General features: G+C 36.9%; 1 protein-coding gene and 1 long non-coding RNA gene across 2 annotated transcripts in view; one reads left to right on the top strand and one right to left on the bottom strand.

The window, feature by feature from the left end:
• Window positions 1-24,747, top strand: part of ERP44 (endoplasmic reticulum protein 44) — a 119,816-nt gene that overhangs the window by 48,490 nt on the left and 46,579 nt on the right. The gene's annotated exons all lie outside the window — the stretch shown is intronic.
• Window positions 156-24,747, bottom strand: part of LOC105376176 (uncharacterized) — a 33,752-nt gene continuing 9,160 nt past the window's right edge. The window contains exon 3 of the long non-coding RNA XR_001746547.2: window positions 156-24,539. This is a non-coding gene — a long non-coding RNA (uncharacterized LOC105376176). The remainder of the gene's footprint in view (window positions 24,540-24,747) is intronic.

Genomic DNA, 24,747 nt, shown 5'->3' with positions numbered 1-24,747 from the left:
GGAAGAACCTTAAGAATTCTGTGTTCTAAAGAGAAATGCCTTTTAGGCAGATTATTCTGTGGTCGAATTTTTTTTTTTCCTAACCATTTAAACAACTTTAATTTATATACTGATATACGTATCAGTGCTTTGAAAAATAGATTGTTCAATCCTAAAGCAGTTTTTAAAAGAGATTTATTGAGGTATAATTGACATATGTTACACAAATTTAAATTTTATAATTTTATAGGTTTTGATACATGTGTGTATCCATGAAACCATCACCACAATCAAGATATTGAGCATAGCTGTCATCCTCCAAAATTTTCCTTGTGCCCCTCTGTGATCCCTGTCTGTCCCTTCTATACCTCACCTTCATCATCCTTAAGGACCATCTACTTTCCATCACTGGAGATTGGTTTGCATTTTCTAGAATTTTATATAAGTGAATCATACAGTATGAGGTTTTTTTTGTCTGGGTTTTTTTTTTTTTCTGGACTTAGTATGTTTATTTTGAGATTGTTTCATGTTGCATATATTATTTCTTATTATTTAGTGGCATTCTATTGTGTGGCTATATACCACAATTTGTTTATCTGTTCACTTCCTGACAGACATTTGGGTTGTTTCGACTTGCTGGCTATTACAAGTAAAGCTGTTATGAACATTCAGATATAAATCTTTATACAAATAAGGATTACAAATAAAGCTGTTATAAACATTCAGATATAAATCTTTATACATATGTTTTCATTTTTCCTGAGCAAATACCTAGATGTGAAATGCTAGGTCATATGGTAGGTCCATGTTTAACTTTTTAAGAAACTGCCAAACTATTTTCCAAAGTATTTGTTCTATTTTATATACCCACTAATAGTACATGAGAGTTCCAGTTGTTCCATATTCTTGTCAAAACTTGGAGTGGATAGTCTATTTAATTTTACATATTCCAATATGTGTGAAGTGGTGTCTCCTTGTGGTTTAATTTGCATTTTTCTAATAATTAATGACGTTGAGAATATTCTTACATGTTTATATACATTCATGTATCTGTGATGATGTGTCTGTTCAAATATTACACATTTTTTATTGGATTGTTTATTTTCTTATTGAAATTTGTTTATTTATTTGTTTGCGACAGGGTCTCACTGTCTCGCCCAGGCTGTAGTGCAGTGGCACAATCTTGGCTCACTGCAGTCTCGGACCTTCCAGGCCCCAGTGGCCTTTCCACCACAGCCCCCCAAGTAGCATGTGCCACCACACCCAGCTAATTTAAAAAAATATTTTTAGAGACAGGTCTCCTTATGTTGCCCAGGCTGGTCTCAAACTCCTGGGCTAAAGTGATTGTTCCTCCTCGGCTTCTGAAAGTGCTGGGATTACAAGCATGAGCCACTGTGCCCTGCCCTCTGAGTTTTGAGAGTTCTTTATATATTGTGAATACAAGTCTTTTTTCACATATGTAATTTGCAAATATTTTCGCCCATTCTACCCTTGTATTTTTTTAAAAAAATTGTAACATATACATAAAATTACTATCTTACCATTTTAAATTGTACAATTTAATACTGTTAAATGTATTCACATTGTTGTGCAACCAGTCTCCAGTTCTTCATCTTGCAAAACTGAAGCTCTACACCCGTTAAACAACAGCTTCCCATTGCCCATTCTCCCCAGCCCCTGGCAACCACTTTTCTACCTTCTTTTTCTACAAATGCGATTACTCTGGGTACTCCACATAAGTGGAATCATACAGTATCTGTCTTTTTGTGACTGGCATATTTCACTTAGCATAATGTCCGCAAGGCTCATTCGTGTTGTAGCATGCGTCAGAATTTCCCTACTTTTTAAGGCTGAATAATATTTCGTGGTATGTATATACCACGATTTGTTTATCATCCATCAAGAACACTGGTTGATTCTGCCCCTTGGCTATTGTGAATAATGGTGCTATGAACATGAGTGTACTAATATCTCTTTGAGACCTTTAAAGAAAGTTCCCAGTTTTTTTTTAATATATATCCAGGAGTGGAATTGCTAGATCATATGGTAGTTTTTAATTTTTTGAAGAAACATCATACCATCTTTCACAGCAGCTGTATCATTTTACATTTTCATTAGGAGTACCTAAGGGTTGCAGTTTCTCCACACCCTCACCTGCACTCTTATTTTCTCTTTGTTGTTGTTTTTATTTTTTTTAAATTTTATTATTATTATACTTTAAGTTTTAGGGTACATGTGCACAACGTGCAGGTTTGTTAACATATGTATAAATGTGCCATGTTGGTGTGCTGCACCCATTAACTCGTCATTTAGCATTAGGTATATCTCCTAATGCTATCCCTCCCCCCTCCACCCACCCAACTCCTGGGCTCAAGGGATCCTCCCACTCAGCCTCCTGAGTAGCTGGGACTACGGTGTGTGTGACTCTGTGGGCTCTATTTTCTGTTTTTGTTCGTTTGTTTGTTTATAGCAGCCATACTAATGGGTGTGAGATGGTATCTCATTGTGTTGGTTTGCATTTCCCTAATAATTAGTGATGTTCAGTATTTTTTCACATGCTTATTGGTCATTTGTATATCTTCCTTGGAGAAATATTTATTCAACTCCTTTGCCCATTTTAAAATCAGGTTATTTGGGTTTTTGTTGTTGATGTTGAGTTGTAGGAGTTCTTTGTATATTCTAGATATTCACCCCTCATATATATGATTTGCAAATAAATTCTCCTGTTCTATAGGTTGCCTTTTCACTCTGTTAATTGTGTCCTTTGAGTCATAGAAATTTTTGATGGTAATGTGGTCTATCTTATGTATTTTTACATTGGTTGACTGTGCTTTAGATGTTATATCCAAGATATAATTGCAATCTAATGTCATGAAGCTTTACTCTCCTATGTTTTCTTCTAAGAGTTTTAGAGTGTTTAGAGAGTTTAAGAGTGTTAGGTCTTATATTCAGGTCTTTCATTTATTTTGAGTTAATTTTTGTGTATGGAACAAGGTAAGGGCCCAACTTTATTATTTTGCATGTGTACTTCTAGGTTTTCCAGCATCATTTATTGAAGAGCCTGTTCTTTCCCCATTGAATGGCCTTGGCATCCTCATCAAAAATCATTTTACTATATATTTGAGGGGTTATTTCTGGACTCTGTACCATGGTCTGTATGTCTGTTTTATGCCAGTTCCACACTTTTTGATTACTGTAGTCTTGCAGTATGTTTTGAAATCAGGAAGTATGAGACCTCCAACTTGAGTGTCTTTTGAAGAGAAGATGTTCTTAATGTTGGTGCAGTCTTACTGTCAGTTTTTAAAATGGATTATAGTTTTGATGTTGTATCTAAGAAGTCTTTGCCTCACACAGGATCACAAAGATTTTCTGCTATGTTTTCTTTTATAAATGTGGTAGTATGAAGGTTTATACTTATGTCTGTGATCCATTTGGAATTAATTTTTACATGTGGCATAGTGTATGAATTGGAGTTCAATTGTTTGCATATGGTTCTGGCATTATTTGTTGAAAAGACTATCCTTTCTTCACTGTCATTGCATCTTGCTGAAATAAACTGACACTGTATGTGTGGGTCTATTTTTGTTCTGTCTCTTCTATACTGTTGATCTGTTTGTGCTTATACCAGTACTTCGTAGATTACTATAGCTTATAAAGAGTTTTGAAGTCTGGTCAGGTAAAGCTTTCAACTTTGTACTTTTTTTTCAGAGTTGTTTGGCAGTTCTGGTTGATTTAGATTTCCATTTAACTTTTAGAATCAGCTTGTTAATTTTTAATGACAACATAAAAGGCGACTGGGATTTTAACTGGGGTTACTTTGAATCCTCAGGGCAATTTGTGGGAAATTGTTATTTTAATGATACTGATTCTTCGAATCCATGAAGATTGTATATCTCTCCATTTATTTAGGCATTTTCAGTTTCTTCCAGCAATGCTTTGTGGTTTTTCAGCCTACATGTCTTGGATAGCTTTATCAGATTTATTCCTAAGTATTTCTTATTTTTTTGATGCTATTGTAAATGATACTTTAAACTTTATTTCTGGAATAATTGTAGATCATATGTAGATTATAGTTGCAAAAATAATACAGAGAATTCCCTTATATTCCTTACCTATTTTGCCCTAACATCAACATCTTATATTACTATGGCACATTTGGATTTTATTTGGATTTTATCCCTCTTCCACTTAATATCTTTTTGTTGTTGTTGTTCTAGAGTATCACTTTTAGGCATAATGTCTTCCTGGTTACCTTTGATCTATTTGTTTCTCAGTCTTCATTTTTTACAACCTTGACAGTTTTGAGTAATATTCTTTAAGAATTTTGTAGAATGTCCTTCATTTTGGGCTTGCCTGGTATTTTTTTTCTCATGTTTTGGTCATCTTTTGTGAGATCTCTCAGTAAGTATTTCTTATTTTGGGGTGCTGTTATAAATGGCATTGATTGTTAAATTTTAATTTTTAGTTTTTTTGTTGCTAGTTTATAGAAATAAGATTGATTTTTTATATTGACCCTATATACTAAAACTTATTAGCTCCAATAAGTTTTATAAATACAGTCCATAGATTTTCTACTTAGACAATTAGGTTTTTTTTGCAAATTAAAAGCTTTAATTCTTGTGGTCTGTATTTCCTTACAGTATTCTTTCCAACCAAGTGTACCTACTTGTTGCTTTAGGATTAGTTTTTGTTAGGCAGAAGATCTGTAAGAAGCTTCCTAGCAAGGACAGAAGGTGGCCTCAGAATCAAGATATCATCATGCCCACGTATGTCTTGTTTGTATCAATCACCTGTCTGGTATTATGTTAGCCTACTCTGTCCTGCCCTTGAGTACTTTAGTCTGTCTGCCTTGCTTCCAACTCACTGCTTCACTGAGACCTTTTATCCAAAGTCACAGTATTATTTCTTGGAAAAGTTCCTGTAAAAAGTTTCTAGTCAAATTGCCTGGGAAAAAACCCTACTACTTATTGAGTGCTTACTTGATTTTAGACATGTTCTTTCGGATATTTTAGTTATCTTTACCACGACGCATTACACCTCTAGTTAAGTAGTATTATTCATTTAACAACAAAAAAATTTATGCCTACCTTATGTAATGCTATGTGGAAGGTTCTATAGCTACAGCAATGAACCAAACACACCCAGAAAGGCAAGAGAGTACAATACACAATCGCAAATTGTGATATCTATTCTGACGGGAAGGTATTGAATGCTACAAAATGATGAGTCTGACTTAGTCTGCAGGGATAGGGAAGACGTTTTCGAGGAAATGATTAAAAAAAGTGAAGGAAGAGTAGGAATTTTCAAGTGAAGTAGTGGAAGAAGAGTGTTTTAGATGGAAGTAGCAGTAGATGTGAAGTTTCTGAGGTAGGAGAGAGCACTGACCTTTCAGAGAGTTGGACTGTGTTACCATTTTACTGATGAAGAGGCTGAAAGATACAGAGAGGCTAAGTTATTTCCCAAGGTTGCATAGTAAATGGAGGGAGCCAGACTGGAACCCAGGACGATACAGCTTTTATCAGTTAACTATGCTATTTGAAAGTCAAAATAAAGTAATTTAAATTGAATTCCCCATAGAAATGGAGAATTCGCCCATTTCTGAATAAAAACAACTTAAAATGTCCTATTACAGGTTATAAAATAGTCTGTTTAAATAGTCTATAATGGGTCATTATATAAATAAAAATGCAATTGCAATTTTTTGGTAAGTTTGAAATTTTACAAATTTTTAGAAACTTGGTATTTTAAAAGTCCTGAACCTGTAGTTTGTCATTGATTAAGGAAAAAGCTAGGAGCGCCTTACTTCCTTGGAGTTTTTGAAAAAGTATGTGTAAGAAGCTAGAAATCTGCAGTATACAGAGTATTGTGATATTGTTAATTGTAATTTGCTTATTTTCACTGTAATAAATGACCTTCAACACAATTATTGAATTTTTAAAAACTTTCTTTGAATAGGCTTTTGCCAGCATTTTGAGGAATGCTTGGAGTTGAGCTACTTGATGGCTTCTAGAAACTGACCCACAGTTCTCTGTGTGGTTGTCCTGAGTTTTTCATTTTCATTCATTTAAGAATTTCGTTTAATATGTTCATACTGTTCTGTCCATTAAAAAAAAAAAGAATTTCATTTAATATTCTAGCCTATGGAAACAACTAGTAGTAGCAGCAGCAGCAGTGATGTTAATAATGACAATAATAATGATAAAATGGCTCTATGAGAGTAGAGACCTTATGTTTTTACCTTTCTATTCCTAGCACTGGAATGGTATCTAGCACATAGTAGGTGTTCAGTTGTAATTGTTGAACAGATGGATAGATAAATGAATAGTAAACAGTACCAGCACTTATGAACTGTTTTGTAGGCACTACAGTTATCATTATTTTCCAAAAATGAAATAAATACTGCCATAGTTTATACCCAGTCTAACTCATCATTGATCGTAAGGCAAAATTTTATGTACAAAAGAAAAAATGAACTACAACACAAAGCTTTCTTATCAGTTATATTTTTAATTCATATGTGATAAACATTTATGAGATACAGAGTAATATTTGAATACATGTATATAATGTTTAATGGTTACATCAGGATAATCCTCTCTTCTAGTACTCAAAAATATACAATAAATTATTATTAACTACAGTCACCCTACAGTGCTGTAGAACAACACTAGAACTTATTTCTCCTGTCTAGAGGTAATTTATTTTTATCTAACTTTTGTAGATACATAGTAGGGTGTATATTTTTATGGATTACAAGAATTTTTTTTTTTTCTGTTTGAGACAGAGTCTTGCTCTGTCTCCCAGGCTGGAGTACAGTGGCGCGTTCTCAGCTCACTGCAACTTCTGCCTCCAGTGGTCAAGCGATTCTTGTGCCTCAGCCACTTGAGTAGCTGGGATTACAGGTGTGCGCCACCACGGCCAGCTAATTTTTGTAGATTTAGTAGAGACAGGGTCTCACCATGTTGGCCAGGCTGGTCTCGAACTCCTGACCTCAAGTGATCCACCCGCCTCAGCCTCCCAAAGTTCTGGGACTACAGGCGTGAGCCACTGCGCCAGGCCAAAAGATATTTTGAAGTCCGTAATAGTCACATCAGGGTATCCATGACTTCAAGCATTTATCCTTTGTCTTTAAAACGATTGAGATCGAATCATACGGTTTAAGTTATTTTTAAAAGTACAATTAAATTAGTTTCTACTATAGTCACCCTGTTGTGCTAGCAAATACTATGTCTTATTTATCTTTTTTTTTTTTTTTTTTTTTTTTTTTTTTTTTGAGACAGAGTCTCGCTCTGTTGCCCAGGCTGGAGTGCAGTGGCGCTATCTCGGCTCACTGCAAGCTCCACCTCCTAGGTTCAGGCCATTCTCCTGCCTCAGCCTCCTGAGTAGCTGGGACTACAGGTGCCCGCCACCATGCCTGGCTAATTTTTTGTATTTTTAGTAGAGACTGGGTTTCACCATGTTAGCCAGGATGGTCTCGATTTCCTGACCTCATGATTCGCCCGCTTCGGCCTCCCAAAGTGCTGGGATTACAGGCATGAGCCACTGCGCCCGGCCTATTGATTCTTTCAAACTACTTTTTTGTACCCATTCACCATCCCTCCCTGACCCTCGACTACCCTTTCCACCCTTTGGTAACCATCCTTCTATGCTCTATCTCCATGAGTTCAGTTGTTTTAAGTTTTAGCTCCCACAGTTAAGTGAGAACATGCAATGTTTTCCTGTGCCTGGCTTATTTCACTTAACCTAGTAACCTCCAGTTCCATCCATGTTGTTGCAAGTGACAGGATCTCATTCTTTTTTTTATGGATTAGTAATACTCCATTATGTGTATGTACCACATTTTCTCTATCCATTTGTTTGTCAATGGACACTTAGGTTGCTTCCAAATCTAGCCTGTTCTGAATAGTGCTGCAATGAACATGGGAGTGCAAATGTCTCTTGCATATACTGATTTCCTTTCCTTTGGGTGTATACCTAGCATTGGGATCATGGGATCATATGGTCGTTCTATTTTTACTTTTTTTGAGTCACCTCCAAACTGTTCTCCATAGCGATTGTACTAATATACATTCCTACCAACAGTGCAAGAGGGTTCTCTTTTCACCTTATACTCGTCAGCATTTGATTGCCTGTCTTTTGAATGAAAGCTATATTAACTGGGGTGAGATAGTATCTCATTGTAGTTTTGATTTGCATTTCTTTGACGATCAGTGATGTTGTGCACGTTTTTATATACCTGTTTCCCATTTGTATGTTTTCATTTGAGAAATGTCTATTCAAATATTTTGCTTATTATTTAATCAGATTATTACATTTTTGAGTATAGAGTTGTTTGAGTTCCCTATATATTTTCATTATTAATCCCTTGTCAGATGGATAGTTGGCAAATATTTTCTCCAGTTATGTGGGTTGTCTTTTCACTTTGTTGATTGTTTCCTTTGCTGTGCGAAAGCTTTTTAACTTGATGTGATCCCATTTGTCCATTTATTTACTTTGGTTGCCTGTGCCTATCGGAGATTGCTCAAGAAGTCTTTGCCCACTCCAGTGTCCTGGAGAGTTTCCCCAATGTTTTCTTGTAGTAGTTTCATAGTTTGAAGTCTGAGATTTAAGTCGTTAATCCATTTTGATTTGATTTTTTGTGTATGGCAAGAGATAGGGGTCTAGTTTCATTCTTCTGCATATGGATATCCAGTTCTTCCAGTACCATTTATTGAAGAGACTGTCCTTTCCCCAGTGTGTGTTCTTGGAACCTTTGTCAAAAATGTGTTCACTGTAGATATATGGATTTATTTCTGGATTTTCTGTTGCACTGATATATCTGTCTGTTTTTTGTTTGTTTATTGTTGTTGTTGTTGTTGTTGTTTTGAGTCGGAATCTTGCTCTGTCGCGGGGCTGGAGTGCAGTGGCGCAATCTCGGCTCACTGCAACCTCCACCTCCCAGGTTCAAGTGATTCTTCTGCCTCAGCCTCCCAAGTAACTGGGACTACAGGCACGTGCCACCATACCCAACTAATTAGTGTATTTTTGGTAGAGATGGGGTTTCACCATGTTGGCCAGGATGGTCTCGATCTCTTGATCTCGTGATCCACCAGCCTCAGCCTCCCAAAGTGTTGAGATTACAGGCGTGAGCCACTGCGCCTGGCCTGTGTCTGTTCTTTATGCCAGTATCATGCTGTTTTGGTTATAGGTTGGTGCAAAAGTAATTGCGATTTTTGCCCTTTTTTTTTTATGGCAAAAAACCGCAATTACTTTTGTGCCAACCTAATACTATACCTCTGTAGTATAATTTGAAGTCAGGTGATGGGATTCCTCCAGTTTTGTTCTTTTTGCTTAAGATAACTTTGGCTATTCTGCGTCTTTTGTGGTTCCATATAAACTTTAGGATTGTTTTTCTATTTCTGTGAAGAATGTCATTGGTATTTTGATAGGGATTGCATTGAATAGGTAGATTGCTTTTGGTAGTAATAACATTTTCACAATATTGATTCTTCCAATCCATAAACATAGAATTTCTTTCCTTTTTTTGTCCCTTTCAGTTTCTTCCATCGATGTTTTATAATTATCATTGTAGAGATCTTTCATTTCTTTGGTTAATTCCTAGGTATTTTATTTTATTTGTAGCTATTGTAAATGGGATTACATTTTTATTTCTTTTTTAGATTGTTCACTGTTAGCGTATAAAAATGCTACTGATTTTTGTAAGTTGATTTTGTATCTTGCAACTTTATTGAATTTGTTTATCAGTTCTTATAGTTTTTTAGTGGTCTTTAGGTTTTTCAAAATATAAGATCATATTATTTACAAACAAGGATATTTTGACTTTTTCCTTTCTAATTTGGATTCCCTTTATATCTTTCTCTCATCTGACTGCTCTAGCTACGACTTCCAGTACTATGTTGAATAATAGTGACAGTGGGCATCCTTGTATTCCAAATCTTAGAGGAAAGGCTTTCAGTTTTTCCCCATTCAGTATGATACTAGCTGTGGGTCTATTGTACATTGTCTTCATTAAGTTGAGATATGTTCCTTCTCTGCAAGTTCCTTGGGGGTGTTTATCATGAAGGAATGTTGAATTTTATCAAATGCTTTTTCAGCATCAATTGAAATAATCATATGTTTTTTATCCTTCATTTTCTTGATATAATGTATCACATTGATTGATCTGCATATGTTGAACCATCATCCTTACATCCCAGAGATAAATCTCACTTGGTCATGATTAATGATCTTTCTAATGTACTGTTGAATTTGGTTTGCTGGTATTTTGTGGAGGATTTTTGCATCAATATTTATTGGCCTGTAGTTTTCCTTGTGTGGATGTGCCTTTGTCCGGTTTTAGTGTCAGGATAATACTGTTCTCATAGAATAAGTCTGGAAGTATTCCCTCCTCCTTTGTTTTTTGGAATAGTTTGAGTAGGATTGGTATCAGTTCTTCCTTAAATGTTTGGGAGGATTCAGCAGTGAAACCATCAGGTCCTGGGCTTTTTTTTTGCCAGAAGCTTTCTTATTATGGCTTCGATCTCATTATTTGTTATTGGTCGGTTCAGGTTTTGGATTTCTTCATGGCTCAATCTTGGTAGGTTGTATGTGTCTAGGAATGTGTCAGTTTCTTCTAGATTTTCCAATTTATTGGCAAATAGTTGCACACAGTAGCTGCTAATGATCCTTAGAATTTCTGTGGTATCAGTTGTGATGTCTCCTTTTTCATTTCTGATGTTATTTATTTAGGTCTTCGCTCTTTTTTTCATAGTCTGGCTAAAGGTTTGTCAATTTTGTAAAACTTACCAAAAAACCAACTTTTTGTTACCTGTGCTTTTGTATTGTCTTTTTCAATTCAATTTCATTTATTTCTGTCCTGATCTTTATTATTTCTTTTCTTCTACTAATTTTGGGTTTGGTTTGATCTTGCTTTTCTAATTCTTTAAGAGGTATCATTAGGTTATTTATTGGAAGTTTTTTCTTATTTTTTGATGTAGCCATAAACTTCTCTCTTAGTTCTACTTTTGCTGAATCCCATAGGTTTTGGTATGTTGTATTTCCATTATTATTTGTTTCAATAAAATTTTCAATTTCCTTCTTAATTTCTTCATTGACCACTGGTCATTCAGGAGCATATTAATTTCCATGTAATTGTATAATTTCTAAGATTTCTCTTGTTATCCATTTCTAGTTTTATTCCATTGTCATCAGAGGAGATGCTTGAGATAATTTCAATTTTTTTGAACGTTTTAAGACTTGTTTTGTAACCTAACATGTGGTCTGTCCTTGAGAATGAGCTTTGTGATGAGGAAAAGAATGTGTATTCGGCAGCCATTGGATGAAATGTTCTGTAAATATCTGTTAGGTCCATTTGGTTTATAGTGCAGGTTAACTGTGATGTTTCCTTGTTGATTTTCTGTCTGGAAGATCTGTCCAAGACTGAAAGTAGGGTATTTAAGTCTCCAGCTATTATTGTGTTGGGGTCTCTCTTTAGCTATAATAATACTTGCTTTATATATCTGGATGTTCCAGTGTTGGGTGCGTATATATTTACATTGTATTACATGCATTACATATGTATATGCATTGTATTTACATTTGTTATATCCTCTTGCTGAATTGACCCATTTGTCATTATATGTGACCTTCTTTGTCTCTTCTTATAGTTTTTGTCTTGAAATCTATTTTGTCTGATATAAGTATAGTGATCTTGCTCTTTTTTGGTTTCCATTGGCATGGAATATCTTTTTCCATTTCTTTATTTTCAGTCTATGTATGTCTTTAGAGGTAGAGTGTGTTTTTTGTAAGCAACAGATCTTTGGGTCTTGTTTTTTTTTAAATCCATTACACCAGTCTGTGTCTTTTGATTGAAGAGTTTAGTTCATTTATATTCAGTGTTATTATTGATAAGTAAAGGCATACGCCTTCCATTTTGTTATTTCTTTTCTCATTGTTTTGTGGTCTTCTCTTCCTTCTTTCCTTCCTTGCTGTCTTCCTTTTAGTGAAGGTGATTTTCTCTGGTGATATGATTTCATTTCTTTTTATTTTTTATTTATCAGTTGTATGTTTGATTTGAGGTTACCATGTGGCTTCCAGATACTATCGTATAACTCATTATTTTAAGCTGATAACACTGCATAAACAAATGAACAAGCAAAAAGAGAACTAATAAAAACTGTACACTTTAACGTCATCTCCCTGCTTTTTAACTTTTTGTTGTTTCTGTTTATATCTCTGTGTACTTTTTGTCTTGAAAAGTTGTTGGGGTTATTATTTTTTGATTGGTCCCTAATTTAGTCTTTTTACTTAAAAGTAGTTGACACACCGCAATTAGTGTTATAATATTTTCTGTTTGTCTGTGTACTTTCTATTTTCTGTGACTTTAGTACGTTCAGATGATTTCTTATTATTAACGTCTTTTTCTTTCTCATTAATATACTCACGTTAACGTTTCTTGTAGGACACATCTGATGTTGATGAAATCCCTCAGGTTTTGTTTGTGTGGGAAAGTCTTTATTTCTCTTTCATATTTGAAGGATGTTTTTGCCACTATAATAATAGTGGGATGTTATCCCACTATTCTGGGATAAAAGTCTTTTTCCTTCAGCAGTTTGAATATATCATGCTACCCTCTTCTGGCACGTAAGGTTTCCACTGAAAAGTCTGCTGCCAGACCTATTGGAGTTCCATTTTATGTTATTTCTTTCTTTTCTCTTGCTGCTGGTTATTCAGGCCAAAGGGCTCTTCAGTAAGCAGGTGATGAATCCTGTCGAGTGGGTCCTTCTTTTCAAAGCAGCAGGTTCCCTTCCAGCCCAGGATGTATCTAGAAATGTCATCCAGGAGCTAGGGCCTGGAAAGGGTGCTTCACGACTGTCTGGTGCCCTGTCTTGCTGTGACTGAGCTGGTATCCCAGATGCGAGACAAAGTCCTCAACATTCTTCCCTCTCCTCTCCTTGAGCAGAAGGAAGGGGTCTCTTTTGGAGTGGTGAGCTATGCAGTCTGGGGTTAACGGAGGGGTGATGCCAGCAGCCCCTTAAGCCATCCTGGTTGGTGTCTCAGTAGGTCATATATCTGCCCGCCATGTCCATTGGCTCTGAGTCCAGTTCAGCCCTAAGACTTGCCAAGAAGTTGCAGTTCTTGTGGCCTACACTGCCTTTCAAGTTTATTTAGGGGCCCAGAGCACTGTGGCACAAGGTGGTAATGTTTGCCAGAACTCAAGTTCTGACTGCTGAGATGGGTGATTTTCCTCTGGCTTGGGCTAGTTTAAATACTCCCTCCATGTGTGGGCGTCAGCTGAGTTCTGTTCAATTTTGCTTTCTGCTATAACAGGGAAGCCCTGAGTTCAAGGCAATGTCTCACAATTGCTGTGCTCTCCTTCTCCCAATCACTGTTTATTGTACTGTGCAGCTGCTGCCAGGGGATGAGTGAGGGGTGGTGTTGGTGATTCAAGACAGTTTTTTCTACCTTCTCACTGCCTGTTTCAGTGAAACGAAGTTAAAACTAGGTAGTGTGAGTGTTCACCTGATTTTTGGTTCTTATGAAGGTGCTTGTTTTGTGTAGATAGTTGTTAAATTGGTGTCTTTGCAGGAGGGACAATTGGTGGAGCTTTCTGTTTCACCATCTTGCTCCGCCTCTCTCTAGAGGTAATTTTTTTTAATCTGTTAAGCAATCTCTCCCTATCCTCCCCTCCCCACTACCCCTCCCACCCTCTAATAACCACAGTTCTACTCTCTACTTATATGAGCTCAACTCTCTTAGCTCCGACATATGAATGAGAACATGCAGTATTTATTTTTCTGTGCCTGGCTTATTTCACTTAACATAATGTCCTCTAGTTCCATTTATGTTGCCACAAATGACAGGATTTCATCCTTTTTTGTTCATTTTCAACTTTTATTTTAGAATCGGGGGTACATGGGGGTATATGTGCAGGATTATTACAGTAAGGCATATTGCGGTGTTTTGAGATTTGGGGTATAACTGCACCTGTCAACCTGCTGTGAGCAGAGTACCCAATAGGTAGCTTTTTAGTCCTTGCCCCACTTGCTTTTGCCTCTCTCTAGTAGTCCACAGTGTCTATTGTTCTCATCTTTATGTCCATGTATACCTAATGTTTTGCTCCCATTTAAAAGTGAGAACATGCAGTATTTTGTTTTCTGTTTCTGTGTTAGTTCACTTAGGATAATGGCCTCCAGCTGCATCCAGGTTGCTGCAAAGGACATGATTTCATTCTTATATATGTGGCTGCATAGTGTACCATGGCATATATGTACCACATTTTCTTTTTCAGTCTGCCATTGATGGACACCTGCAGAGGAAATGATTTTGTTGATTTTTATGGCTGCATAGTAATCAGTTGTGTATATGTACCACATTTTCTTTATCCAGTCCACTGTTGATGGATACCTAGGTTGGTTCTGTGGTTTTGCTATTGTGAATAGTGCTGCGAGGAACATATGCATGCATGTGTCCTTTTGGTAGGACAATTTATTTTCCTTTGGGTATATCCCCAGTAATGGGATTGCTGGGTTGAATGGCAGTTCAACTCTTAGTTCTTTGTGAAATCTCCACACTGCTCTCCACAGTTGGAGTAGTTTACTTTCCCATCAACAGTTGTTTAAGTGCCTCATTTTCTCTTCAGCCTTGCCATCATCTGTTCTTTTTTGACTTTTTAACAAAAGCTATTCTGACTGGCATGGGGTGGTATCTCATTGTGGTTTTGATTTGCATTTCTTTGATGATTAGCGATAATAAGCATTTTTTCATATGTTTGTTGGCTGCTTGTATGTCGTCTTTTGAAAAGTGTCTGTTCACATCCTTTGTCCACTTTTTGTTTTTTTATTTACTTTTTGTTTTTATTTTTATTCTTATTTTTTTAAGACAGAGTTTCGGTCTTGTTGCCCAGGCTGGAGTGCAATGGCACAATCCTGGCTCACTGCAGCCTCTGCCTACCGGGTTCAAGCAATTCTCCTGCCTCAGCCTCCTAAATAGCTGGGATTACAGGCACATGCCACCATGCCGGGCTAATTTTGTATTTTTAGTAGAGATGGCGTTTCACCATGTTGCCTAGGCTGGTCTTGAACACCTGACCTCAGGTGATCCATCCACCTTGGCCTCCCAAAGTGCTGGGATTACAGGCCTTTGCCTACTTTTTAATGGGGTTATTCGTGTTTTGTTTATTGATTTAATAAGTTCCTTATAGATTCTAGATATTAGACCTTTGTTGAGTGCATCATTTGCAAATATTTTCTTCCATACTGTAGGTTGTTTGTTTGCTTCCTTGGTAGTTTTTCTTGCAGTTCAGAGGCTCTTTAGTTTAATTAGGTCCCACTTACCAGTTTTTGTTTTTGTTGCAGTTGCTTTTGGTGTCTTAGCCATAAATTTTTTGCCAAGGCCAATGATGAGAAAGGTATTTCCTAGGTTTTCTTATAGGATTTTTATAGTCTGATGTCATATGTTTAAGTCTTTAATCTGTCTTGACTTAAGTTTTGTATATGATGATATGTAGAGGTCCAGTTTCATTCTTTTGCATATGGATAGCCAGTTATTCCAATACCATTTATTGAATAGAGAGTCTTCTTCCATTGCTTATTTTTGTTGATTTTGTAGAAGATCAGGTGGTTGTAAGTGTGTGGCTTTATTTCTGAGTTCTCTATTCTGTTCCTTTATTCTATGTGTCTGTTTTTGTACTGGTATCTTACTGTTCTGGTTATCATAGCCTTGTAGTATAGTTTGAAGTCCAGTAATACGATGCCTCTGGCTTTGTTCTTTTTGCCTAGGTTTGCTTTGGCTATTGAGGCTCTTTTTTGGTTCTGTATGAATTTACAATAGTTTTTTCTAATTCTGTGGAAATGAATTGATATCGTTAAAATGGCCATACTGCCCAAAACAATTTACAGATTAATACTATTCCTGTCTTTCTCTTTTTGACTGGCTGGGTTGTATTTCTTTTTCTTTTTCTTTGTTTTTTGTTTTTTTGTTTTTTTTAATTAAGTGAAAGCAAATTAATTAGGAAAGCAAGGGAATAAAAGAAATGGCTGCTGCATAGGCAGAGCAGCCGCAAGGGCTGCTGGCTGGCTATTTTTATGGTTACTTCTTTATTATATGCTAAACAAAGGGTGGATTATTTGAGTTTTCTAGGAAAGTGGTGGGCAATTCCTGGAACTTCCTGCCTTTTTTAGATCATGTAAGGTAACTTCCTGACATTGCCGTGTCATTTGTAAACTGTCATGGTGCTGCTGGGAGTGTTTTGTTTTTTAGCATGATAATGCATTATATTAATAATTATCATAATGAGCACTGAGGATGACCAGAGTTCACTTTCATTGTCATCTTGGTTTTGTTGGGTTTTGGCCAGCTTCTTTACTGCAACCTGCAAGGTTTTTGTGATCTGTATCTTGTGCCAACCTCCTATCTCATCCTATGACTTAGAATGCCTAACCTCCTGAGAATGCAGCTCAGTAAGCCTCAGCCTTATTTTACCCAACCCCTATGCAACATGGAGTCACTCTGGTTTGAACGCCTCTGACAGAGTTGACCTGGTTGAGTGGCCTCTGGCATATTTTCCCTCTCTCTTTTACAAGGGAACCCTTAATCCTAAGGATTGTAGAGGGACAAAGATCCATATTCTGTAACTTGAGCTTGAATAGGGGCAATGATATTCCTGCCTACCTATTAGAGTCTCTTGTATTCAGGGTAGAGAGGAGCTGAGTCAGAAAGCATTGATATGTCGAGGGCCATTCATAACTCTGAGTTCTAATAAAAGTTGATATCCATCCCTCTTGCTTCTGAGTACCAGCCAGAGATGACTGGTTGATTCACAGGAATAAGCAGAGTCAGTCTCAATAGCAGAAAAAACCTCAAAAACAACTGATGAGACAGGTGTACCATAGTTCTCTCTCCAGTCCTCATTTTTACTAAAGATAAATCATGGTAAGACTGCTTTGCTTTATTATACTTGGCCTAGTTATTTGTATAAAGTGCAGCAAGAATAATTATTTTTCACACAGGCTTTCTTAATTGGCTTTAATGGGATTTTCTTTCATAGAAGGAATCTCAGGTTAGACTTTTTTAAAAAGTTGAGCCCAGCCATGGGTTTGTATCCTCAAATACCTGTGAGTTTAGTAAATTCCTTTCCTCTTGAGGTCCCAAGATAACTTGGGGCTCCTTGGCCTATCAGAAAGTGACATTCTTTACTTACCACAGGTCAGAAACCATGTACAGGGACTGTGTAGACAAGGTGTAAGGCCAGTTTTCTCAAGGGGCTTTTATTGGCTCTACAAGTCAACGTTGATTCCTTAAAGGAAAGCACACCATTCTAGTCAAAGCCTTGGTAAAATAACAAATTTTTCCAATTGTGTCATGATGCAAAAGAAAACATTCTTATTGCACTTATGCAAATAATTGTATTGCCATAAGTTAAGAATACTTACAAATAGTTTCCAAATTCTGGAGAAATCAGGTAGAAACAAATATGCTCCAAATTTTGTTCACAGGAGTATACTTTACTTAATTATTAAAAGCTGTTAATAGCTCAAAAGAAGAGTTTCCTTGATTCTTAAAAACTAAACAAAGGATCAGCAACATTTTAAGCAAAAAGTCAAAAAAGATTATTTTTGTCCTCTATTAGTTAGGTCCATGTGGTTAATACCTGTCTTGCTTAATAGTCACGAACATTTCAGCTCTCCATGAGTCCTGAATGCTTTTTCCTCTAAAGTCAGAATCTCCAAAGATCAGAAACCTGCATTCAAGAATACCTGTTAGAGTTCTAGAGTTGATTATAAAACCACCTTCTGAAGAGGATCAATACAAGACAACATTGTCTGTGGATGCCAAAAAGTCTTAGGACAGCCACTATTAAAGCCACAATTGACAAGTTAATTTTGCTTACTTCTGTGCCATACAACAATTTTACATATCAATTATAATTATTAATAACATAGACTAAGTCATTTCAGAGTAATAGGAGTTTCTTATAATTTTAGAACACATACCAGTAACATATTTATACAAATACGGCCCAAAGAAAGCCAAATACCATCTCATATTTGGCAATGCTTCTTGTATGATTTTCATACCAAATAAGCCAAATATGTCATTTTTTGACTTTAGGGGACCTAATATCTAAAAGATTAATTAGGTCAGAAAAGACATAATTTATAACTTGATTTAAGCACTTATTAGTTTTAAGCCAATAGATGCTTTTTTTACACTACACACAACATATATAAATACACAGAAGATCTAGTAGTTGTAAGATTTTTTACTTCCCAGTTTTTTAATTGGATTACTGGCTTCAGGGTGGAGCCCTGGAGGAACAGGGCCAGGGAAGTGTGCAGTTTCTACAGCCTAATAAGCGGGCATAGCTGGAATGCAAAATAGATCCCCCAAATTAAGGGTCCCATTTTTATACCAGATCCTGGATCCCAAAAAAAAGAGGGAGCCAGCCCATCTCCCATGGGAGTCTTATCTCTCAGTGGGGTGTGAGGACATTTTCATACCTTCTAGGGGGCCAAGAGCATGCTTCTCTAATCCAAAAGTGCAGAGTCAAGTATTAAACTATAACTGCCATTAAGCATGCCCAAAAATACATTTCTTAAGTAGTTCTCTCATAATTCAAAGTAATTTCTGATACCTTCCAAAGTCAAAAACGTCAGATAACATAATGCAAAACAGAACAGAACCTTAGATTTTGAGAGGAATCTTAGCTATTTCTAATTTCTAGGGTTTCATGAGGAAAACAGAGGTTTTTCCCAAAACAGGGTCTGTCGTGCCTCCTCTGTTTTTCCCAGGGAATCCCAGGCTGTTAGAGCTTGAATATCTGCTTTTAATTAAGCTAACTTTTAACCATAGCACTCTTAAAAAAAAACAGTTCTTTTAAATTTCTTATTATCTGACTTTAGCCAGGCCAAATGACCAGTATTTCTGGGTTTTGAACTTTACCAAAGGTAACCTCCAAGGTGCTCAGAGAAAGGAAAATTCAAGATGGTTCGTGGAGAGGGAGGGAGTCAACAAATGATAAAGGTCTTACAGATATCAAACCAGAAAGGACTTATTCCCTAAGCCAGGAATTGAACCCTCAACCTGTGCCACCATTGTGAAAAGACAAAGCCTTAGCTACTAAGCTACAGCATTGGACAGTTTCTATTGCTCTTCCCTGAAGGAGGCTAGAGCAGTCAGTTTTGAGCTTGCAAAGGCTTTTAATGGCTTAAGATAATTTTTTGAGCAAACTATGACATGGACCCCAAAACTCCTGTTCCCTGGATGGCAGAGACCAACAGAAAGTACTGACCCATTCTTACAAGGTCAAGCTCCCAAAGACATAGAACAAAATGAGAAGGAAACTTCAGCATTTTTTTTTTTCAGGTACTTGCAGCAAAGTCTGTAATTAACCAGTTTTCCAGGCTGGCTTGAACCTGGGCTTATGGGATCCTAAGCCCGTGTTCTGTCCATAAAGGTATTCTTCTTTATGACAGAGCAATGTAGAAAGACAAAGTTGCAGCACAAAGTACACCAGATTCGCTACAGTAGCCACTCTGCTTAGTATGCAATATGGAATTGGCAAGGTTCAAACTTGCCCTCAGATGGGCCCTGTCATCTTTAATCCAACCTCTGCTGTCATGTGGTCTCAGGGCACAGAGGATAGGAAAGGGAGAAAAGCATTCATTGCCTGCAGCAAGGTGGGGAAGGCAAGGTGCTCAGGGAGGCCAGAGAAAGACCTACTTATTGCAGTGACACTCAATCAAAAGTTCAGGCGGTCACTTGTCAGTTGCAAAGGGGTTTTCCAACAGTCTCACCAGCTTTCAAGTTTCCCCTTTTGGGGAGAAAAAAGGCTCTCCATGTCCAGTGATCCTGTACATGCCTAATCCTGTCACCCACAGCTGTCAGCGAAGAGTACAAGGCAGATTAATCCAAAGAGAATAGTGGTTAACTCCCCATAATGCCAAATCCATTCATAGCTGAGAGGAACTTTACTGAGTGGGGCCTCTAACTCCCTAAATTTTAGGAAGTATTCTAACCATCCTAAGCTGGGCCTTGAACCCAAGTTCCACCAGATGTCCTTGCCTTTTATTAAGAGGGGCCTTTAACCCACTCTTTTTTAGGAGACACTCTAACTCCCCTCAGTTGGGCCTCTAACCCAATCCCATCCTTTACCCGGATACCCCACTACTTACCCAGAGTTGGCCATTTGGTGCTGCAGTCTGTTTCCTTTTGGGTTGGGGGTTTCCTCAATATCGTCCCTCCATGGTTCACCAGGAGGATATTACCAGAAAGGAGTCCTGATCCAGACCCCTAGAGAAGATTCTTGGATCTCAAGAAAGAATTTGATGTGAATCCATAGAGTAAAGTGAAAGCAAGTTTATTAGGAAAGTAAGGGAATAAAAGAATGGCTACTCCATAGGCAGAGCAGCCCTGAGTTGTATTTTATTGTGTATATGTACCACATTTTCTTTTTTCTTTGTTTTTGAGACTGAGTCTCGCTCTGTTGCCAGGCTGGAGTGCAGTGGCATGATCTCGGCTTACTGCAACCTCTGCCTTCTGGGTTCAAGTGATTCTCCCGCCTCAGCCTCCTGAGTAGCTGGAACTACAGGTGCGCACCACCACGCCCGGCTAATTTTTGTATTTTTAGTAGAGACGGGGTTTCGCCATGTTGGCCAGGATGGTCTCAATCTCTTGACCTCATGATCTGCCCGCCTCGGTCTCCCAAAGTGCTGGGATTACAGGCATGAGCCACCGCACCCGGCCCCACATTTTCTTTATCCATTCATCTGTTGATGGCCACTTAGGTTGATTTCATATTTTGACTATTGTAAATAGTGCTGCAGTAAACACGGTGGTGCAGATATGTCCTTGCTATACTGATTTCCTTTTCTTTGGATAAATACACAGTAATGGAATTGCTAGATCATGTGGTAGTTCTATTTTTAGGTTTTGAGGAACCTCCATTTTGTCTTCCATAGTGGCTGTGCTACGTTACTGTCTCATCAACAACATGTGAATGTTTCCCTTTCTCCAAATCCTCTGCAGTATTAATTATTTTCACATTTTTGTTAATAGCCATTCTAACTGGGGTGAAATGATATCTCATTGTGGTTTCGATTTGTATGTAACCACATGATTAGTGAAACTGACAATTTTTTTTCACATGCTTTTTGGCCATTTGTATGTCTTTTGAGAAATGTTTGTTGAGATGCCATGTCCTTTTTAAAATAGGATTTTGTTGTCGTTGTTGTTGCTTGTATATTCTGGATGTTAATCCCTTATCAGATGATTAGTTTACAGATATTTCCACTAATTCTCAGGTTGCCTCTTCACTCTGTTGAGTGTTTCCCTTGCCCTACAGAAGCTTTTTAGTTTGATAAAATCCCATTTGTCTATTTTTGCTTTTTTTTTTGCCTGTGCATTTAAAGCAGTATCCATAAAAATCTTTGCACAGACCAATGTGCTAAAGCATTTCCCCTATGTTTTCTTCTACTGGTTTTATAGTTTCGGGTCTTAGATTTATGTCTTTAATCCATCTTGAGTTGATTTTTGTTTATGGTGAGAGATAGGGACACTTAGAATTTTTTTATACCTATTGTGAAAACTATTTTAGACTCAGAAATAGATTTTAAAAATTCTGTCATTATTGTGTGTGCCTTAAAAGGAAAATAAATTTGTTCAAGTTATTCTGAAACTAGAGTCTGACTCTTGTGCATCATTTCTCAACTGAGTCGAGTTTTTTGTTTTTGTTTTTGTTTTTTTACACAGTATTGGCCTCCATGCCATTAAGAGTATTGGTAATGCTCTACTCTCTCTAGGAATTTCTTCCAAGCTGCTAAAACCCATTCTGCAAGTATTGATGCTATCACTTTACTATTTGACTAACCTCAGAGTTTATTTTTTCTGAATTGAAATATATCTCTGCTAGTTAAGCAACTTTTCTTCAAAGTTACCAAAATATAAGCCAAAATGTTAATAGTGGTTTTCTCCAGTGGTGGTTGGAAGTGGTTCTTGTTTTCTTCTTTGTAACTGTCTGCTTTCCAAAATTTCGAAACACACATAGACACACATGTACACATGCATGTACATATGCACACAATTAAAACATGGCCTTGCTTCAACTTGCTTCACATCTTATCTTCTGCAGTCTTATCATTTGGGGAATTCAGGAGCGTAATTCATTATTCTCCTTGGTGGTCATGCTTGCTGCCTTGAATCTAGAAAGTCCCATCAGTCAGCCCCTGGTGGGACCAGGTTCTCTGCTGACCTCCAGTGGCCTTAGGCTGTATGGCACTAAGCAAGAGGCATTCATATGCTTGCTGGTCAGTGCAGAACAGACCCACACTTGTGTTTTTAGGAAAGTACTTTGTAATTGTCCTTGATTAGGTAGCACATGCACCCATATACCTGAGTTACTCTTACCTGTCTTCCAGTGCAACTCGAACCTTACTTATTGGAAATTGAGAAGCTTTTTATAGGAACTATATATAAATATCATAGTAAGAACAAGAAAATATGAAGTGAAGACTTTATGTGCATAGAACAGAATTTGGATGAGCAGTTAAGCCTGAGTTCTGAGTGAACTTCTAGGCTTTGCTTATTAGTTTTCTGTTGAGGTATTTTGTTTTGTTTTTTGGGGATGTTTGTCTTTTTGGGGTTTTTTTGTTTGTTTTGAGGGGTGCAGTTTGGGAATGGGAAGAAGTACATAGGCAGCAGTGGTCCTTCTCCTGGAACCAGAAGAACAATAAGACTTTCCTGTTGAAATGATCTGCCTCTTTGTATTTTCTGCCATGGATAACCATTGCAGGGAGAGACGTTGCTGAAACGAGTATGAGGCAATTTCCCCATTTGGAACCCTGCTGGGTATTAGTGAGGCAGGCAGGCAGGACCCATCAAGGAAAAGTAAGTGACCATTGGAGCAAAAATATATGCTAATTTTCCAATCAGTGAGCTGTTAACCTTCTGGGATTTATAATTCCTCTGACATCCATTTTAACATTTGATCTATCCAGTTAATTTTAAAAACCCATTTATTATACCCCTTAAGTCATTTTTTGTTATATTGTCAAAGTGTCACATTCTAATTATCTTAAAATCACTTTTGGCCAAAGCTTGTAAAATAAAAAAAAAAGCATTATGTCTGAGATTACTGATCAATGTAATTTTAAGGTTTTTGCTTCTTAATAATTAAACGCCACTGCATTATGCAGCATACCTGCTGCCAGGATGTTGTTTGAGAATGAAGCAAATGAATATCTAATCCCATAATAGTTTTCAAATATTTTAAATCTTTTTCTCTCTGTAACCAGAATTTTAAAGCAACCTAAAGATTGTAATGTTTGTTAATAGACTCTTGTGATTTTTGCCACAACTATTACAGTACTAGTCTCCCTGGTTCTCTACTACTTCCAGGTGAATTTTTTGAAAGCCCAGCTCTACAGCTCAGTGGCTGCTTATCACAACACTGGATAAAATTCAAACTCCATCAGCTTAGTGCTTAAGACCCTCTAGAGTCCGTCTCTAACCTTATTTATTCTACTCCTGGTTTATGCATACTTGCTGTTAGCACACTACTTTCTCATTGCGCCCCCTAATTCATCAAGTTTAGAAAGTTGAAAGCATTATATTGTCTCCTATAGTGCATCTTGCTGTCCATTTTCATACTGATACTTAGGACACAGGTGGAAAATATATGTTTTGTATTAGACTAGTTTCTTTGCTTCTGAGTCCATCTCATATCCTCTCTGCCAGATCCTTTGGGTATTAAAAAGTCTTAGGGTATTAAAAAAGATTACTTGACTTCTTGTTGACAAAGTAGGCACCAGCTAGGCTAGTTTACCTTTATTAACATTGAATATTGGACCTAAATGAAACCTACTAGGAATATTTTACTTTCACAGGGTTTCATATTATTGAATTTTAGTTTAAAACATTTTTATTATTACTGATTTTTTGCCAGTATGAAAGACAAAATGTTATCTGGGAGTTTTAATTTGTAACTTTCTGATTACAACTGAACATATGTAATAGTTTATTGGCAATCTGTGTTTCTTTCATAAACTGATAGCTTTAACTCACTTATCTTTTTGGTAGTCTTTTTTTAGTTCATTCTTTTTATATTCTGAATATTAATCAGTTGTCTCTAGTACATGTCACAAGTACCTTTCTTCCTGTCTGTCTTAAAAATTCGTGTTTTTCTTTTAATGTCTAGATGCTTCCTAATCTTTGTGGCTTCAAAATCTGGCAAATGTCTTGGCTGCATGTGGTCTTGATACAGGGTTGCAGGTCCTTTCCAAAGTAGACGTTGTCTCCTAAGTACCAGGAGGCCATAGGAGATTTTTCGTCTTTGTGACCCAACTCCCCAGGTTTGTATATCACCCCAGCACTCAGCAGATGTCCTCTGGAGACATTTCTCTTGCCTATGCAGGTATAATTCTCAGCCCTAAATCTGCAACTGCAGGCTTAATTTCCAAAACAAATTACACAGGAAACCTATAAGAAAGAAAATGGCTAGTGATCTTTGCTTACCTTAGGAATGGTTCTTCCTTTCCTGGAATGTCAGTTCCTTTAGTCTTCATTGTTTTCATGATTTCTGGTATCTTAAAAATATGATACAAAGTTTTTTCTAGTTGTTGCAGTAGGACCAACACATTTTTGCTTCCCACTACACCCTGCTTGAAAATGGAAATCCATTTGTAGATTCCCTTTTGGATTTTCTGTGAACTCAATAAAAACACCTGCAAGTAATGACATTTCTTCCTTTACAGTCTTTTATTATTATTATTATTTTGACCAAGAACTCCAAAT

This window comes from Homo sapiens, chromosome 9 (assembly GCF_000001405.40).
Source record: "Homo sapiens chromosome 9, GRCh38.p14 Primary Assembly".
Classification (NCBI taxonomy): Eukaryota; Metazoa; Chordata; class Mammalia; order Primates; family Hominidae; genus Homo; species Homo sapiens.
This window is presented reverse-complemented; position numbering and strand designations above follow the sequence as displayed.